We start from the raw sequence: 19032 nt of genomic DNA on the forward strand, positions 1-19032 counted from the left end.
TTTGAAAGATAGAGATCATATTCTAGGGAGATGTCTAAGAATCAAGATGTCCAGTGCCTATAAAATGAACTGTAATGACCTTGGGTAAATGGCATTTTGAAGAGATGTTCTTGGGCATTATTCTTAGCAGGAAATTTCAACTTACATGAATGATTACCCTTAATTAAGTAAGATAAGGAAATAAACAGTTTTCTACTCAGAGAAGGGTAAAAAACATAATTGTCATAAGGAGGGCATTGACAGTTTGGTCTAAACATGCCATAGATTTCTTAAAGGAAAGGTTAGAATGAATAAATACTTATTGCTTCAGATTAATTCCCATTATATAGTGTCCTCTTCTAGAAAGTTTGTGACTTCTTGATGTAATAGTTTTGTAACAGAAATACTGAAGCCATCTAACATGATGTTGCCAAATATACTATTACTGCATCAGTTATAATGAAGCTAAAATTCTTAGACTAGTTTCTATAACAGTAAGCATGAGCTATAATTTAAACTTTTATTTAACAACAAATTGTTGATGAATAGCTGAATCTAATAATCTAGTGGAATAGTAATTCCCACTACTCCTAATTTTTAAAAATCCTCCTTAGAATAAGATAGGGCAAAAATAAATATACAATATAATAATTGGCTTATATAATAAGTTTCTGTAAAAACATCTTCAAAATGTATATAAAAGTAGTATTTTGTAAAACCTCTAATCCAAAATGCTATCTTTCTAAACATATTATAAAAAATGTTTCAGAACTAAGGTACTTCTCTCTCATTAATATTAAACTTAATTATTTACATTTCATTTAGGTTTAATGTTTTCAAACAATGAATATTAGGGTTGTTAAAACTGAGATAACAATCATATAACATAAAGTTCAAAATTTTAAAAATTTAAAGCATACAACTCAGTGTTTTTAGTATATTAACAAGTTTGTATAATTATCGCCACTAATTTTAGTATATTTTCATTATCCCAAAAAGAAGCCATATATTTATTAGCAGTCACTCCCATTCTTCCTTCCTGCTAAGCTCATGGCAAGCACTAATCTACTTTCTGTTTCAATGGATTTGTTTATTCTGAATATTTTAAATAAATAATATGTGTAATATTATATGTTTGGCTTCTTTCACTTAGCATAATATCCTCAAGTTTCACTCGGGTTGTAGCGTGTACCAGATCTTCAATCCTTTCTACAGCTGATAGTGTTTCACTGTATGGATAAACCGCATCTTGTTTATTCATTCATTGGCTGATAGACATTTGGGTTGTTTTCATGTTTTGGTTATTATGAATAATGCTGCTATATTTACTCACATACAGGTTTTTCTTAGATGTGTATTTTCATTTCTCTCAGTTACTTACCTAGAATTGCTGGATAATACGTTAACCTTAGCTGGGATTACAGGTGCCTGCCACCACGCCCGGCTAATTTTTTGCATTTAGTAGAGACGGGGTTTCACAATGTTGACTCGGCTGGTCTCGAACTCCTGACCTCATGAACCACCTTCCTTGGCCTCCCAAAGTGCTGGGCTACAGGCTTGAGTATTTAGCTTTTTAAAGAACTGCCATTTTTTTTTTCCACAGCAGCTGCACCATTTTGCATTTCTACCAGCAATGCATGAGGGTTCCATTTTATCTGCGTCACTCTCAACACTTTGTGAATGGCCATCCATATTCTTCAGAGAAATGTTTATTCAAGACTGCTTCTCAGTTTTAAATCAGGTGGTCTTTTTTTGTTGATTTATAAGAGTAGCTTGTAGTAAGTGTTGAAATTAGAAAATGTGACTCCTCCAAGTTTGTTCTTTTTCAAGATTATTTTGGCTACTCTGTGTCCCTTGCAAATCCATATGAATTTTAGGACTAGCTTATCCAAATTTGCAAAAGAAAAAGGAAGTTGGAAAATTAATAGAGGTTACATTGAACCTGTGGATCAATTTGGGGATTATTGACATCTTAACAATGTTAAGTCTTTCAATTTATAGACATGGAATATCTTTCCATTTATTTAGCACTTCATTAAATTTTTTCAACAATATTTTCAAGTTTTCAGTGTACACATCTGGTACTTCCTTGGTTAAATTCATTTAAGCATTTTATTCCTTTTGATGTTTTAGTAAATAAAATTATTTTCTTGATTGCATTTTAGGATTGTTCAGTACTAAATTTGTAGAAATTCAACTGATTTTTGTGTTAATCTTATGTTCTGGAATCTTGCTGAACTTATTACCCACCTCTAATAATTATTTTGTGAATATTTCAGTTTTTTATTATATAAAATTATGTTATCTGTGAATGTAGTTATACTTCTTCCTTTTCAATCTAGATGTGTTTTCTTTTTCTTGCCTAATTACCTTGACTAGAACTTACAGTACGATGTTGAATTGAATTGTGGAAAGTGGCATCCTTGTTTTATTCCTGAACTTAGGGAGATAACTTTCAGTCTTTCCACAATTAAGTATGATGCTAGCTATACGTTTTTCATAGAGGCCCTTTATCAAACTAGGGAAGTTCTCTTTTCCTAGTTTGTTGAGTGTTTTTATCATAAAAATGTTACAATATTGACACTTTTTCTGCATATAATGAAACGACTTTGTCATGTTTGGCCACTTAATTTTCTGTGCTATTATGCTATGACCAGCTGGTGATTGGACAAATATTTTCTTAGGTGGCTGGAGCTAAAACAAAATCTCTCATGGGCTCTCTGTGTGTGTTTTGGGAATGCCTTCAACACTAAGCAAAGGAGTTTACAACTGTCTTATCTTTCATTATTCCTTGTGTAGAGCCTTAAGATTAGCCAGAAGTGAGAATTTAGGGCCTTCTCATGTCCTTCCTGAGTATGCAGACAGTCGTGGTCATGAATATGGCTTTCTAGGTTTTCAATAAGATGTTGGAGCTCTTCAAAACCCTTGTTCCTCAAAGTACCTCCTTCAGCCTTTCTTCCCAAGTTTTTAAATTAATTTATTGTTTGTCCCAACTGTTATTGATTGCCAGGAGGCAGCCACGAATAATACATTTGTTATGTAATTTGACAAAAATCCTTCCTCAGATATTCACCTAAGCAATGCAAAAATTCTAAGTTAGGTAAGATAATGGCAAGCCCTTTTATTCGAGGATCCACCAGACAGGTCAACTGAACAATCATGTTCTTTGTGAATGAGATCTGTTCCCTTCCCTCTGACACTGCTATTTGTACAATACTTGGAAAGTGAGCTTTTGTCATTAAGTTTATATTTGAGTCAGATGTTGAATAATGGGAACAGAGTAGTTTAAAACACCACAAAGCTCTTTCTTTACCAAGAGTCCATCAGCTTTTTCTTAAGAATTCCCTTAGTTGCACAAGCTTCTGGTTAATTTCCAGAATTTCAAAAATGTTGACTATAACATATATCACCAGTGTTTATTGGTTTTATGGAGGGATAAACTTTTGGCATTCCTTACTTTGCTGTTTCTGTTAACATCGCCCCCCTTTAGGATTTTTAAGAAATAATATTGAATATCTACTAATGAGGAGTCAAACTAAAACACTAATTTCTTGACATAGTGTATTTGTTTCTTATAAAATGAAACAGAAACATATAATCTACATCATATTCCATGCTTTGGTTTCTTTTTATCTCTTACTAATTGAAAATAGAACTTATATACTTATCATGTAGTTATAAACTTGTATGATCTCTGTTTATGCTGTTCTTTTAAAAAGTATATTTTAAATGTTCAGAGATATTGAGAATAAACTGCGGTCAAATGGCTAGTAAATGCCCAAACTGGAATTACTTCCAAATTATGCTTTCCCCAACACCACACATTTAAAAATTGTGTGTACATGCTTCAGTGACAGATGCTTAGTGAAGGAACCATTTCTCTAATTAAGCAGTTTATGGAATGAATGCAATGCAATTCTGAAATGTTACCCCAGTCTATCATCTCAGGAGGACCCTCATTAAAATAATTCCTTAATGTAACGGTATAAATGGATTCTCCAATATTTTAAGCTTGTCTCTCAGGAAGAAGTTGCCTGAAACCTTTGATGTTTTATAATCAGAGAGCCTTTTTGATCTTTTCTTGGTTATACCAATTTTGCATGATATTCCCCAGTCAATAATAATTCTATCATATTAAAATTGCTCTGCTTTATTCTTGATGGTCATCAAAGAATATTTGTTTTAGCCAAATTAATTGCCTGTGGAATAAGTGCAACCATGGGGTTAGTCTCTCTGAAAGGTTTAAAAGCTGGTTTTTATCTAAATTTCAAGTATCTCTTGGGTTATATTTGTTTAAGCCTTTATTTCCATCTTTGGGGGAAAACAAAAGTCATATTACCATTTAAAATTTACATGTATCAGAGTTTGGAGATACCAAAATACATAAGAAGTCTAGACAACCAAAGAAAACAGAAGTGTGCTTGCTTTAAAAATAAGCTATTGCTATTTGAATTGTACAGGAAATGACATACCTCCATCTATTGTCCTGAAGAGCAGTCAGTGTTTTGAATCTCTATGAGGGTAAGTAATCAGAAGCATTCTTTTGTGGAAAAGAATGGATGGATGGATGGTGGGGAAAAATAGGTTTCAAGGCAGACCCTTTTGTCTTGGTTTGCTAGTCTGTTTTTAACTCTTTAAATGATTATTGTGAGTATCTTTGGGGAATAAGTATGAAAGATGTTTTAAAACCTACAAACTGAACCATAGACATAAGTACATTTATTACCCATATCAGTAATCTTAATAATTATTGAGAGAGTGTAGCCATGTGTCACATCAGGTAGAGCTGTTGAGAGGAGATTTCCTAGTGGCCCCTTCTCCTGTAGTTTGTCTGCTATCACAGCCAGTTTTCCAGCCCTGTCATTAGAAAAGGGAGAGTAAGTCCTAATTCTTAGAAATGCTCCTTCTAATTCAGATAATATGTTATAGCTTCAATTGAGACAAAGTAGACTAATGTATATTACTATTATAAAAATATGTATTCATTAGGATTCTGTTTGCAAGTAATAGAGATCGAAATTGAAACACCTTAGGCAAACCAGGAATGTTTGAGTCATACAGCCAAATCTCAAGAAGAGCAGTGTTGGAGATGGCACAAGAATGGGTGGAGTCTGGGTTTAGATGCCATCAGAATTTCCTCAACATTTCACTCTGATTTTCTCTGCAGGTTGGCTTCTTCACCTGCTAGGGATATGGCTATCAGCAAGGTAAGAAAACATTCAAAAATCCTCAGGCTGGGAAGAGTTTCAGTTTAGGAACCAAATGTAGGCCCATTTGAATGAACTGTAAGGAATAAGATGGAAAGAAGTAGGAGTCCAGGATGTAGAGTCAGGCAAAAGCTCAATCTTGAAGGCCATGCTAGACCACACTCACAAAGAGTGTTTTTGGGATTCTGTTCAAGACCATATTTTCAGAGTATTTTTAGGCTTCTGATCAAGATTGCACATGAGTTTATATTCAGTCCTCGAATTCTAAACAAATAACTAATGATTTATGAAATATATCATTAAAAATAGTAGCAACAAACCAAAAATAGTTGGGCTCCAAAGCAAGCTAAATATTTCTGAAGACCAAAAACAGAACAGAGAGACAAATCAGTGAATGAGGCTGAAGCCATGAGTTTGCTAGTATGAAGCAGGGCACTGTCAGTGGGGGCCAGGAACTGGCTCCTGTAGGGTAATAGGGACTACTTGTGGTGAATTCATAGGGAACCACAGCCAGGCTGACTGCTTGGAGCCAAGGGCTGTCTTGAGGCTCCCTTGGCTGCCTTCCTGCCTCAATTCTAGAACACAGGAAGGCATATAATGCCAAATTATCCTACCAAATCAAGAATGTTTGTGAATTATCCTCTAGAGAATAGAAGAGGGAAAATGTCCAAATTCATTCTAATGAATCCAGTATAATATTGACACCAAAACGAGGCAATAAAAGTCTAAGAAAGAAAATGAGAGATGAATTTTACTTATGATTTGGATGCAGAAAATCTCCCCCAAATACTAATACATTTAACTAAGCAGTACATTAAAAAATACATTCTGACCATGCATAATTAATCTTACAAAAGCAAGAATGCTTCAATATTAGAAATGCTGTTATAATAATATATGATTAATAGATTAATAAAGAAATTTACATGATTATCTCAGTAGAAGCAGCAAAAGTAAATATGATTCAACACTGTTTTATATACTAAAAATGAAAGCTCTTAGCAGATAGCATAGCAAACAAAATATGCTACTTCTGTTGTTTTCTATGTCTACCTCATACTCATTCCTAAACCCCTTTTTCCTACCCACTTCTCACTATTGAGACTGTAAAATCTTGGTGAATCAAATGGGGGATATGGACAAAAAAGACTGGAAAAGCCAACTACTCACTTTTCCAGCTTCTGTTGTGTTAACAATGGGCAGATGGCTCAGGCCAGGCCAATGAGGTATAAGGATAATTCTGATGGCAAGGAAATGACTTTCCTCCGTAATAAAAGAAGAGATGGGTGATTCATTTTTATGTGCCGTGGCTACAGTCTGTTTCCTCCCTATGACCATAATTGTATGTGGATATGATGCTTGGAATATGCCATAAAGGAATGTCAGACATCTTGATCCAGGGAAGCTCCTGCCCCTGGAACCACCAATTTTCAAATTATTTCTGTATATCATAACTAAGTATTTTTATTGCAAATGTAAACGTTAGATATTCTTACTTTTGGTCAAAAGCATTTCTAATTGATACAGAATGAAATTTCCTTAATCTAAGAAAGGGTGTCTATTCAAATTCTCCCAACTATCATACTTATTGATAATAGGTTAGAAGTTTACCACTTAGGAATGAAAATGATGCCATTTATAACTTTTTCTATTCAATGTAATACTACAAGTGCTAGTTTGTCTAGTAAGATAGAGAAATAAAGTTATACAAATTATGAAGGAAAAGGAAAAAAAGTCTTTAATTTTCCACAATATGATTGCTTTTATAGAAAACTGAAAGGTATATATATATAAATAAATTAATAGAACTACTCAGAGAATTTTGAAATTTTACTAGATTTTAGGTAAACTAAAAAAATTACATAACTACTATCCACTAAAATGAAATTGATAAATATAATAATATTACATAATAGTGGTAAAGTACTCATGAATAGCTCTAAAATGTCTTAATACTTTTAAGGGGATATTTTTGAAATATTCCTGAAGTACATAAGACTTGAATAAAAGGAGAAATACACAAAGTTTAGGAATTAAAAACTCTTAAAGAAGCACCAATTTACCTCAAATAAATATATATTTTCAATGCAACCTCTATTCAAGACCTAAAGGGATTTATTCAGGGTCTTGATAACTCCTCATGAAACTCATATGATGGTACAAAAGGCCAAGAATAGCTGAGACAATTTTGAGAAAGAAGAGATAGAGGGACTTTATCACACTTGTTTAACAACTTATTAATTATGAGCATATAATATAGAAATTGCTTGAAGTTGGGCAAATAGAAAAATTGGGGAATTTTAAGGAAGTCTAAACATCTATGTAGAAACAATATATTTCAGACTTTTCATTAAAACTGTTGGGAAAGAATGAACAAATATATAAATAGTTCTGGGAAAATTAGTTATCCATATGAAAAACAACTGGAATTCCATTTCATCCAGAATAAACAATTAGGTGGCTGAAAAGGTAAAAATGGAAAGGCAGACCTTTGACCTTTTTAATAGAAATTATGAGAAAATATTTTCATAATCTTGGGCTAAGGAATGATTTATTAAGTTACAAAACAGAATAAATACTAAAGAAAAAAGATGGTTAAATTAACTCTATTAAAATTAAATTTCTGGTCTTCAAGAGACATCATTACCAAAAATAGAATACATGCTATAGGTTGAGAGAAAAATATCTGAAATGTCTTAAAGTATCTAAAATATATCTGACAAAGAATTAGGATCTAGAGTTAAGGAAGGATACCTACAAATGAGGGAGGATATAAGTAATAATACAACAGATAAGTGAGCAAAGGAGAGGAAGAGGGACCAGAAAGAGAAACTCAATCTACGCATATGAATATTCTCAATCTCACTGATTCTTTGGGGAAATGCAAATAAAAAACTGAAATTCCTTTCAAAACCATGGAATTTGAAAAATTAAAATCTAGTTTTACAATTCAATTAGTTGATAAGGATGTGGAGCAATGAAAATTCTCATTTATGCTAGTAGGAGTGTTCACTGAGGAGATTGCAGTAGAATTTAGCACAGTACAGCAATGTGTGTTATGGCCTTAACCCTCACACTATTTATACATCCTAGAGAAAGTTCTTATAGCACAGGATAGCAAGTAAGGTGTTCATGGCAATGCTGCTTGTCATAGTGAAGACTAAAAATACCTAAATGTCCATTAAAAAGAACAGATAAATGTTATGACTTCACAGAATACTATAAATGGTTCAGATGAATGAACGAGAACTATGTTATGACACCTCAAAAACAGAATACTGAGCATAAAAATCAAGTGTCCTAATGATGGGCAAATTACACTATTTAAGTAAAGTTTGAAAACAGGAAGAACCCTTCTGTATAATGTTTCTGTATATATACATGAGTAATCATAGATTGAAAACATGCATGAGAATGATGAATACCGGCTTCAAGACAATGTTCACTCAGGGGAAAAATAAAGGAAGAGGACTGGGGAGAAATGCTTAGAAACTTCAATTATCTGAAACATTTTATTTAAGCTGAGAGTGTGTTACTTGGAATTTTATTAAATTATTTGAGATTTTGTATCCCTGAAATGTTTCACAAGGATCTATTATCTTTCCCTCCTTCCCTACATCGACTTATCTACCTATCTGATGCACATATGTCAGAATAGATAACAGATCTGTAAGTTTTATGTTATTCTGTCTACTTTGCTAAATATTTTAAACATTTAGTTTTCTAAACAGTTACAGTTGCTGCTGTCTGGATAATCCCTCGGGATAATATGGGGTGTGAGATGCCACTGAGCCTTACTACAGTAGCATACGAATGAAAATAGTGAATCTGAAGAACATTTTGAAAGTTGTATGGATACCTGTAGAAACTGAAAGTAAACGTTTAGGAAAAGGCTGATACATCATGTTTCTGCCATGAGTCTCTGAGGGAATAATGAAATAAGTGACTTCTATTGCCAGAAAACACATGTGGAAAGGCTCAGGCTGATGGTGGGGGAAAGGTGAGGCCCTATTTCTCTGAATTTTAATATTCATAGTTTATATTTCTTGAAACATTCCTTGATGTGTTGTATATCCTTTTAAGTGCATTCTGTTGTTACAGAGTTCATCAGAAGGTGTTTGTAGCTTGGCTCCTTCTGAAGATCCCAAGGTAAAATTTTCTGTTTATAAAACATGAAGGCTCTTACAAATGGTCTATACAAATTATTAATATAATGAACTGGCCTGCATGAAGTGGTCTAGGAAAGATCCATTACTTGATTCTTCCTGTAACAGCGTGGGCTTTGAGCTGTGGAAATGCTGATTGGATTGAAACAAGGCTTGCAGCGAGAATCATCTGTTAGAAAAAAGATGTTGTTTGAGTTCATTGTAGATTCTGGACATTAGCCTTTTGTCAGATGAGTAAATTGCAAAAATTTTCTCCCATTCTGTAGGTGGCCTCTTCACTCTGATGGTAGTTTCTTTTGCTGTGCAGAAGCTCTTTAGTTTAATTAGATCCCATTTGTGAATTTTGGCTTTTGTTGCCATTGCTTTTGGTGTTTTAGACATGAAGTCCTTGCCGATGCCTATGTCCCAAATTTACAAGAAAAAAACAAACAACCCCATCAAAAAGTGGGCAAAGGACATGAACAGACACTTCTCAAAAGAAGACATTTATGCAGCCAAAAGACACATGAAAAAATGCTCATCATCACTGTCCATTAGAGAAATGCAAATCAAAACCACAATGAGATACCATCTCACACCAGTTAGAATGGCTATCATTAAAAAGTCAGGAAACAACAGGTGCTGGAGAGGATGTGGAGAAATAGGAACACTTTTACACTGTTGGTGGGACTGTAAACTAGTTCAACCATTGTGGAAGACAGTGTGGCGATTCCTCAGGGATCTAGAACTAGAAATACCATTTGACCCAGCCATCCCATTACTGGCTATATACCCAAAGGATTATAAATCATGCTGCTATGAAGACACATGCACACGTATGTTTATTGCAGCACTATTCACAATAGCAAAGACTTGGAACCAACCCAAATGTCCAACAATGATAGACTGGATTAAGAAAATGTGGCACATATCTACCATGGAATACTATGCAGCCATAAAAAATGGTGAGTTCATGTCCTAGAAAAAGTACAGCCTGACAAAAAATAACCTCTTGAGCCCCTCCCCATCTCACTTATAAAGTGACAGATAATCTCACACCTGCCAGGCCCTTCTGCTTTCCTTTTACATACTTATATACAGTTTATTCTTCCAGAGCAAGATTTCTCAACCTTGGTGCTATTGATTTTGGGCTGGGTAATTCTTTGTTTCTGGGCCTGTCTTGTGCTTGCCTCAATCAAATAGATGCCAGTAGTATCCACCCACACAGTTGTGACAACTCAAACCCAAAATGTCTCCAAATATTGCCAAATGTCCCCTGGGAGGGCAAAATTGCTTCTGGTTGAGAATAACTGTTCTAAAGATAGGCTTACATGGGCCACTAAAGGGAAAAATGGTGAATGAACTTTAATTCTGCAACCTCACTAATATTTGGATTAGGCTTTCATGCATATAAATATATTTGGGGTTATACTAAAAAACTCATGATGTAGGGACCTTTATTAACAGAAGTATTCTGTCACGGGACTCACCTTCTGTGTTCTGACTCTGACAGCAATGTCAATATGTGAACCACTTTTCCATGCTGGAGGCTGAAAATACTGCCGTGAATGAAAAACAGTTTCTTCTCTGAAAGAGAAGGCACTCCTGGAACTTTATGTAAATCCTTGACCAAAATGAAACTTAACATAGATCAGCATTAACTGTGTACCCTACATCAGTGATGAACATTACTACTGGCATTCATTAATGAAAGACGTCACATGTGTGTATATTTATTACTATGAATAAGAATCTTCCTTGCTCTGCTCTTCTTGTATCATTATTAAAGGATGAATAATACCCAGAGAGGTGGTTAAAGCTACTTAATTGGGATATGAATAAATGAAATGTTTAATTAAGAAGGCCAAATGCCAAGGATTTGAATTAGTTTAATGCTTTTCTAGGACTTGACATAATACATTACTGGTGGCTAGCCTTTACAAAATGCTTTGCTTTGAGACACAGGGTTAATTGTTAAGCTTTGGCTTAAAACAATCCAATCTATTATCACTTTGTTTTATATTTTTTGTTTTTTTTCATTGCTTAAATTTGTAGAGAGGAATCCTTATTTTAATAAGGTGTTTCCTACCTTAGGATATTCCAAACCTTTATTATTCACAAATGCTCTTATTTGATTCCAAGTTCCATATATTTTAATATACTCTGCAGCTACAAGATTGAAATGATTTCTAAATTGGCATCTTTCAGTTTTTTCAGTGGCTTGCACAAATTAAGAAAATGTTATTCTGCTTATCAGGAGTGAGCTGGTTGTAGCTTGTGATATTTGTGCTGGTCTTTAAAATATCAGCCATAGAATCATTTATTGTCCAATCAAATAAATTGGAATGCTTCTAACACTGGCTGAATTTTCAGGCTTTTTTTGTGAAATAAAATAATAAAGGATAGAATAGTAATAAAAACCAATTGTACTGATGCATGACATACATTTGCATTGCTCAGATTTGTTCTGCTTCTCATTCCTCCAACTATTTCCCAAAAAAGCCATCCAAAGTAGAAACTTGGTAAGTTTTTTAAAATAAAGCTTATGGACAATACTCCTTAAAAAGATAATATTTTTTAAAAAAATTTGAGGCATGTATTTTAGAATTCTTTGAATACTCTGAAATAAAAGAACAGGTAGAATCATATTTTTTAGAACAGATAGTGATTTTATGGGTAATTCAACACAAAGTTTTCATTTTACTTATGAGGATACTGAAATTAAGATAGGTTAATTGACTTACAAAAGGTCTCCCAGATAGAATAGGCATAATAAAGAATTACTAATTCCTAATCTATTGATATTGGTTTTCTTGCACATGACCTTTCTACATGAACTTCAGGGTTATCTTTTCTGAATATTATTATGTGTTTTAAAGTCAGGGATACAGAAGGCTAAAATAATATTTTCTTCACAGCCAAAAGTTTTGTGTATCAGTTTTAAGGGTTATTTTAATGGTCCTTGATATATTATGACATTTGGAGATTCACATGCACATCACAAGTGCAATTGGACACAGGTTAGTTGTATGACCCAAGTGTTCAACTAGAATTGGATTCCTTTCTGTCTCTAAAGGTATACATTTTGAGATTTATAGAAAGAAAATACCTTTAGCATTGTTTGTACATCCACCAATAAAGTTTTTTAAAAATATAATTTAATCTTAATGTTTCAATTCTGAGGAGTGGGCACATGGGGTTTGTTAAATTGTTCTGTGTAGTTTTTGTTTTGTTTTCAAGTAAATTAATTTTGTAAAGTCAAAAAAGTGAAATTATATGTTAAAATATTTTTGCTATAATAAAGCCAGTATTGCTCAATAGAATATTGTCTTCTTATAATATATGTTCAGTATAACTTCAAGGGATAGAAACTTGCTACTATGAACATTCTTAGAAAAAATAATTCTGTAACAATATAGTAACATCAGTAACAATTTAAACATTAGGTCTCTCCCCCTTATGGTGGTATACAGTGTATATAAGGAGGTATCTCATTGTGATTTTGATTTACATTGCCATCATGACTAAAGATGTTGAGCATCTTTTCATGTGCTTTTTTGACATTTGTATATAATGTATTCAAATTTCTTGCCCATTCTAAAATTGGGTTATTCCACTCCTAGATATATGACCAATAGTAAGTTTAAAACATCATGAAAAATTTTGAATATAATGTTCATATTAGCTTTATCCATAATAGCCAAAAGAGAAAACAATCCAAATATCCATTAACTGAATAATGGATAAACAAAATGTGGTATTGTTTTATTGCCAAACAATATTTCACATATAATGAAATATTGTTTGGCAATAAAAGTAAATTATTATATGTGAAATATTGTTGGCAATAAAAGTGAATCAAGTATTGACATATGTTATAACATGGATGAAATTTGAGAGCATGCTAAGTGAAAAAGAAATAAAAAATTATACGACTACACATCATATAGTTGTGTTTATATAAAATTGTTGGAATAGGCAAGTCAACAGAGACAAAGTAGATTAGTAGTTGCCTAGGGCTAGGAAGAGAGGGAAGTGGGGTATAACACTAAAGTGTATATTTTTTTGTGGTGGGGGGGTGGTGAAAATATTCTAAAATTAGATAACTGTGGTTGTCACATGGCTTCGTGAATGTATTCATTTGTTCTCACACTGCTAATAAAGACATACCTGAGACTGGATAATTTATAAAGGAAAGAGATTTAATTAACTCACATTTCAGCATGGCTGGGGAGGCCTCAGGAAACTTATAATCATGGAGGTAGGGGAAACAAACACATCCTTCGTCACATGGTGACAGCAAGAAGTGCCAAGCAAAAGGGGGAAAAGCTCCTTATAAAACCATCAGATATCGTGAGAACTCACTCGATATCAGGAGAACAGCGTTAGTGTAATCACCCCCATGATTAAATTACCTCTCACCAGTTCCCTCCCACAACAAGTGGGTATTATGGGAACTATATTTCAAGATGAGATATGGGTTGGATCATAGTGAAAGCATATCAGCGAATATCGTAAAAAATTGAATTGTAAACTTTTTTAGTATATGTGCTGCCAAAGAGAGGCATGAACTGTAAGTTTTAATAGGATAGATTTTATAGTATATGAGTTATATTTCAATAAAACTGTTTGAAAAAGGAAAAAACTATATAATTATTATAAAAATAATACAATTTTCTTCTTTAATAGTTTACCAATTAATAAAAATGAGAATTTTTTTTTTATTATTATACCTTAAGTTCTAGGGTACATGTACACAACGTGCAGGTTTGTTACATAGGTATACATGTGCCATGTTGGTTTGCTGCACCCATCAACTTGTCATTTACATTAGGTATTTCTCCTAAAGCTATTCCTCTCCCAGTTCCCCCACCCCCTGAAAGGCCCAGTGTGTGATGTTCCCCGCCCCGTGTCCATGTGTTCTCGTTGTTCAACTCCCACCTATGAGTGAGAACATGTGGTGTTTGGTTTTCTGTTCTTGTGATAGTTTGCTTAGAATGATGGTTTCCAGCTTCATCCATGACCCTGCAAAGGACATGAACTCATCCTTTTTTATAGCTGCATAGTATTCCATGGTGTATATGTGCCACATTTTCTTAATCCAGTCTATCATTGGTGGACATTTGGGTTGGTTCCAAGTCTTTGCAATTGTGAATAGTGCCGCGATAAACATACATGTGCATGTGTCTTTATAGTAGCATGATTTATAATCCTTTGGGTATATACCCTGTAATGGGATGGCTGGTCAAATGGTATTTCTAGTTCTAGATCCTTGAGGAATCATCACACTGTCTTCCACAATGGTTGAACTAATTTACAGTCCCACCAACAGTGTAAAACTGTTCCCATTTCTCCACATCCTTTCCAGCACCTGTTGGTTCCTGACTTTTTAATGATTGCCATTCTAACTCCTCTGAGATGGTATGTCATTGTGGTTTTGATTTGCATTTCTCTAATGAGCAGTGATGGTAAGCATTTTTCCATATGTCTTTTGGCTGCATAAGTGTCTTCTTATGAGAAGTGTCTGTTCATATCCTTTGCCCACTTTTTGATGGGGTTGCTTTTTTCTTGTAAATTCGTTTAAGTTATTTGTAGATTCTGGATATTAGCTCTTGTCAGATGGGTGGATTGCAAAGATTTTCTCCCATTCTGTAGGTTGCCTGTACACTCTTATGATAATTTCTTTTGCTGTGCAGAAACTCTTTGGTTTAATTAGCTCCCACTTGTCTATGTTGGCTTTTGTTGCCATTGCTTTTCGTGTTTTAGTCATGAAGTCTTTGCCCATGCCTATGTCCTGATTGGTATTGCCTGGGTTTTCTTCTAGGGTTTTTATGGTGTTAGGTCTTACATTTAAGTCTTTAATCCATCTTGAATTAATTTTTGTATATGGTGTAAGGAAGAGATCCAGTTTCAGCTTTCTACATATGACTAGCCAGTTTTCCCAGCACCATTTTTTAAATAGGGAATCCTTTGTTCATTGCTTGTTTTTGTCAGGTTTGTCAAAGATCAGATGGCTGTAGATGTGTGGTGTTATTTCTGAGGTCTTTCTTCTGTTCCATTGATCTATATATTTGTTTTGGTACTAGTACCATGCTGTTTTGGTTACTGTAGTCTTGTAGTATAGTTTGAAGTCAGGTAGCATGATGCCTCCACCTTTGTTCTTTTTGCTTAGGATTGTCTTGGCTTTGTGGGCTCTTATTTGGTTCCATATGAAGTTTAAAGTAGTTTTTTCTAATTGTGTGAAGAAAGTCAATGGTAGCTTGATGGGGATAGCATTGAGTATACAAATTAGGTTGAGCAATATGGCCATTTTCACAATACTGATTCTTCCTATCCATGAGAATGGAATGTTCTTCTATATGTTTGTGTCCTCTTTTATTTCATTGAGCAGTGATTTGTAGTTCTCTGTGAAGTGGTCCTTCACATCGCTTGTAAGTTGGATTCCCAGGTATTTTACTCTCTTTGTAGTAATTGTGAATGGGAGCTCACTCATGATTTGGCTCTCTATTATTGGTGTATAGGAATGCTTGTGATTTTTGCACATTTATTTTGTATCCTGAGGCTTTGCTGGAGTTGCTTATCAGCTTAAGGAGATACTGGGCTGAGATGATGGGGTTTTCTTTTTATTTATTTTTTTATTTATTTATATTATACTTTAAGTTTTAGGGTACATGTGCACAACGTGAAGGTTTGTTACATATATATACATGTGCCATGCTGGTGTGCTGCACCCATTAACTCGTCTTTTCACATTAGGTATATCTCCTAATGCTATCCTTTCCCCATCCCCCTACCCCATAACAGGCCCTGGTGTGTGATGTTCCCCTTCCTGTGTCCATGTGTTCTCATTGTTCAATTCCCACCTATGAGTGAAAACATGCTATGTTTGTTTTTTTGTCCTTGCAATAGTTTGCTGAGAATGATGGTTTCCAGCTTCATCCATGTCCCTACAAAGGACATGAACTCATCATTTTTTATGGCTGCATAGTATTCCATGGTGTATATGTGCCACATTTTCTTAATCCAGTCTATCATTGGTGGACATTTGGGTTGGTTCCAAGTCTTTGCTGTTGTGAGTAGTGCTGCGATAAACATACATGTGCATGTGTCTTTATAGCAGCATGATTTATAATCCTTTGCGTATATACCCAGTAATGGGATGGCTGGGTCAAATGGTATTTCTAGTTCTAGATCCCTGAGGAATCGCCACACTGACTTCCACAATGGTGGAACTACTTTACAGTCCCACCAGCAGTGTAAAAGTGTTCCTATTTCTCCACATCCTCTCCAGCACCTGTTGTTTCCTGACTTTTAAATGATCACCATTCCCACTGGTGTGAGATAGTATCTCATTGTGGTTTTGATTTGCATTTTTCTGATGGCCGGTGATGATGAGCATTTTTTCATATGTCTTTTAGCTGCACAAATGTCTTTTTTTGAGAAGTGTCTGTTCATATCCTTTGCCCACTTGTTGATGGGGTTGTTTGCTTTTTTCTTGCAAATTTGTTTGAGTTCATTGTATATTCTGGATATTAGCCCTTTTTCAGATGAGTAGATTGCAAAAATTTTCTCCCATTCTGTAGGTTGCCTGTTCACTCTGATGGTAGTTTCTTTTGCTGTGAAGAAGCTCTTTAGTTTAATTAGATGCCATTTGTCAATTTTGGCTTTTGTTGCCATTGCTTTTGGTGAAATTGAGGCAATAATTAATAGCTTACCAATCAAAAAAAGTCCTGGACCAGACGGATTCACAGCCAATTTCTACCAGAGGTACAAGGAGGAACTGGTACCATTCCTTCTGAAACTATTCCAATCAATAGAAAAGGAATCCTCCCTAACTCATTTTATGAGGGCAGCATCGTCCTGATACCAAATCCTGGCAGAGACACACAAAAAAAGAGGATTTTAGACCAATATCCCTGATGAACATCGATGCAAAAATCCTCAATAAAGTACTGGCAAACCAAATCCAGCAGCATATCGGACAGCTTATCCACCACGATCAAGTGGGCTTCATCCCCAGGATGCAAGGCTGGTTCAACATATGCAAATCAATAAATGTAATCCAGCATGTAAACAGAATCAACGACAAAAACCACATGATTATCTCACTAGACCTAGAAAAGGCCTTTGACAAAATTCAACAGCCCTTCATGCTAAAAACTCTCAATAAATTAGGTATTGATGGGAAGTATCTCAAAACAATAAGAGCTATTTATGACAAACCCACAGCCAATATCATACTGAATGGGCAAAAACTGGAAGCATTCCCTTTGAAAACTGGCACAAGACAGGGATGCCCTCTCTCACCACTCCTATTCAACATAGTGTTGGAAGTTCTGGCCAGGGCAATCAGGCAGGAGAAAGAAATAAAAGGTATTCAATTAAGAAAAGAGGAAGTCAAATTGTCCCTGTTTGCAGATGACATGATTGTATATTTAGAAAACCCCATCATCTCAGCCCCAAATCTCCTTAAGCTGATAAGCAACTTCAGCAAAGTCTCAGGATACAAAATCAATGTACAAAAATCACAAGCATTCTTATACACCAATAAGAGACAAACAGAGAGCCAAATCATGAGTGAACTCCCACTCAAAACTGCTTCAAAGAGAATAAAATACCTAGGAATCCAAGTTACAAGGGTTGTGAAGGACCTCTTCAAGGAGAACTACAAACCACTGCTCAGTGAAATAAAAGAGGATACAAACAAATGGAAGAGCATTCCATGCTCATGGGTAGGAAGAATCGGTATTGTGAAAATGGCCAAACTGCCCAAGGTAATTCATAGATTCAATGCCATCCCCATGAAGCTACCAATGACTTTCTTCACAGAATTGGAAAAAACTACTTTAAAGTTCATATGGAACCAAAAAAGAGACTGCATTGCCATGTCAATCCTAAGCCAAAAGAACAAAGCTGGAGGCATCACACTACCTGACTTCAAACTATACTACAAGGCTACAGTAACCAAAACAGCATGGTACTGGTACCAAATCAGAGATATAGACCAATGGAACAGAACAGAGCCCTCAGAAATAATGCCACATATCTACAACTATCTGATCTTTGACAAACCTGACAAAAACAAGCAATGGGGAAAGGATTCCCTATTCAATAAATGGTGCTGGGAAACCTGGCTAGCCATATGTAGAAAGCTGAAACTGGATCCCTTCCTTACACCTTATATGAAAATTAATTCAAGATGGATTAAAGACTTACATTTTAGACCTAAAACCATAAAAACCCTAGAAGAAAACCTAGGCAATACCATTCAGGACATAGGCATGGTCAAGTACTTCATGTCTAAGACAATGGGGTTTTCTATATATACAATCATGTCATCTGCAAACAGAGACAATTTGACTTCCTCTTTTCCTAACTGAATGCCCTTTATTTCTTTCTCTTGCCTGATTGCCCTGGCCAGAACTTACAATGCTATGTTGAAAAGGAGTGGTGAGAGAGGGCATCCGTGTCTTGTGCTGGTTTTCAAAGGGAATGCTTCCAGTTTTTGCCCATTCAGTAAGATATTGGCTGTGGGTTTGTCATAAATAGCTCTTATTATTTTGAGATACGTTCCATCAATACCTAGTTTATTGAGAGTTTTTAGCATGAAGGGCTGTTGAATTTTGTGGAATGCCTTTTCTGCATCTGTTGAGGTAATCATATGGTTTCTGTCTTTGGTTCTGTTTAGTGATGGATTACGT

At 34.7% G+C, this 19032-nt stretch overlaps 1 long non-coding RNA gene across 4 annotated transcripts in view; it reads left to right on the forward strand.

The window, feature by feature from the left end:
* The first annotated feature begins 1581 nt into the window (after positions 1–1581).
* LOC101927213 (uncharacterized) overlaps positions 1582–19032 on the forward strand; it is a 63269-nt gene continuing 45818 nt past the window's right edge. For 2 of the 4 annotated variants that reach the window (XR_001739478.1, XR_001739479.1), the window contains exons 1-4: positions 1582–1720; positions 4440–4500; positions 5147–5186; positions 9288–9335. This is a non-coding gene — a long non-coding RNA (uncharacterized LOC101927213). The other 2 variants (XR_001739480.1, XR_001739481.1) reach the window with 2 other exon arrangements.

Source organism: Homo sapiens, chromosome 2, assembly GCF_000001405.40.
Source record: "Homo sapiens chromosome 2, GRCh38.p14 Primary Assembly".
Classification (NCBI taxonomy): domain Eukaryota; kingdom Metazoa; phylum Chordata; class Mammalia; order Primates; family Hominidae; genus Homo; species Homo sapiens.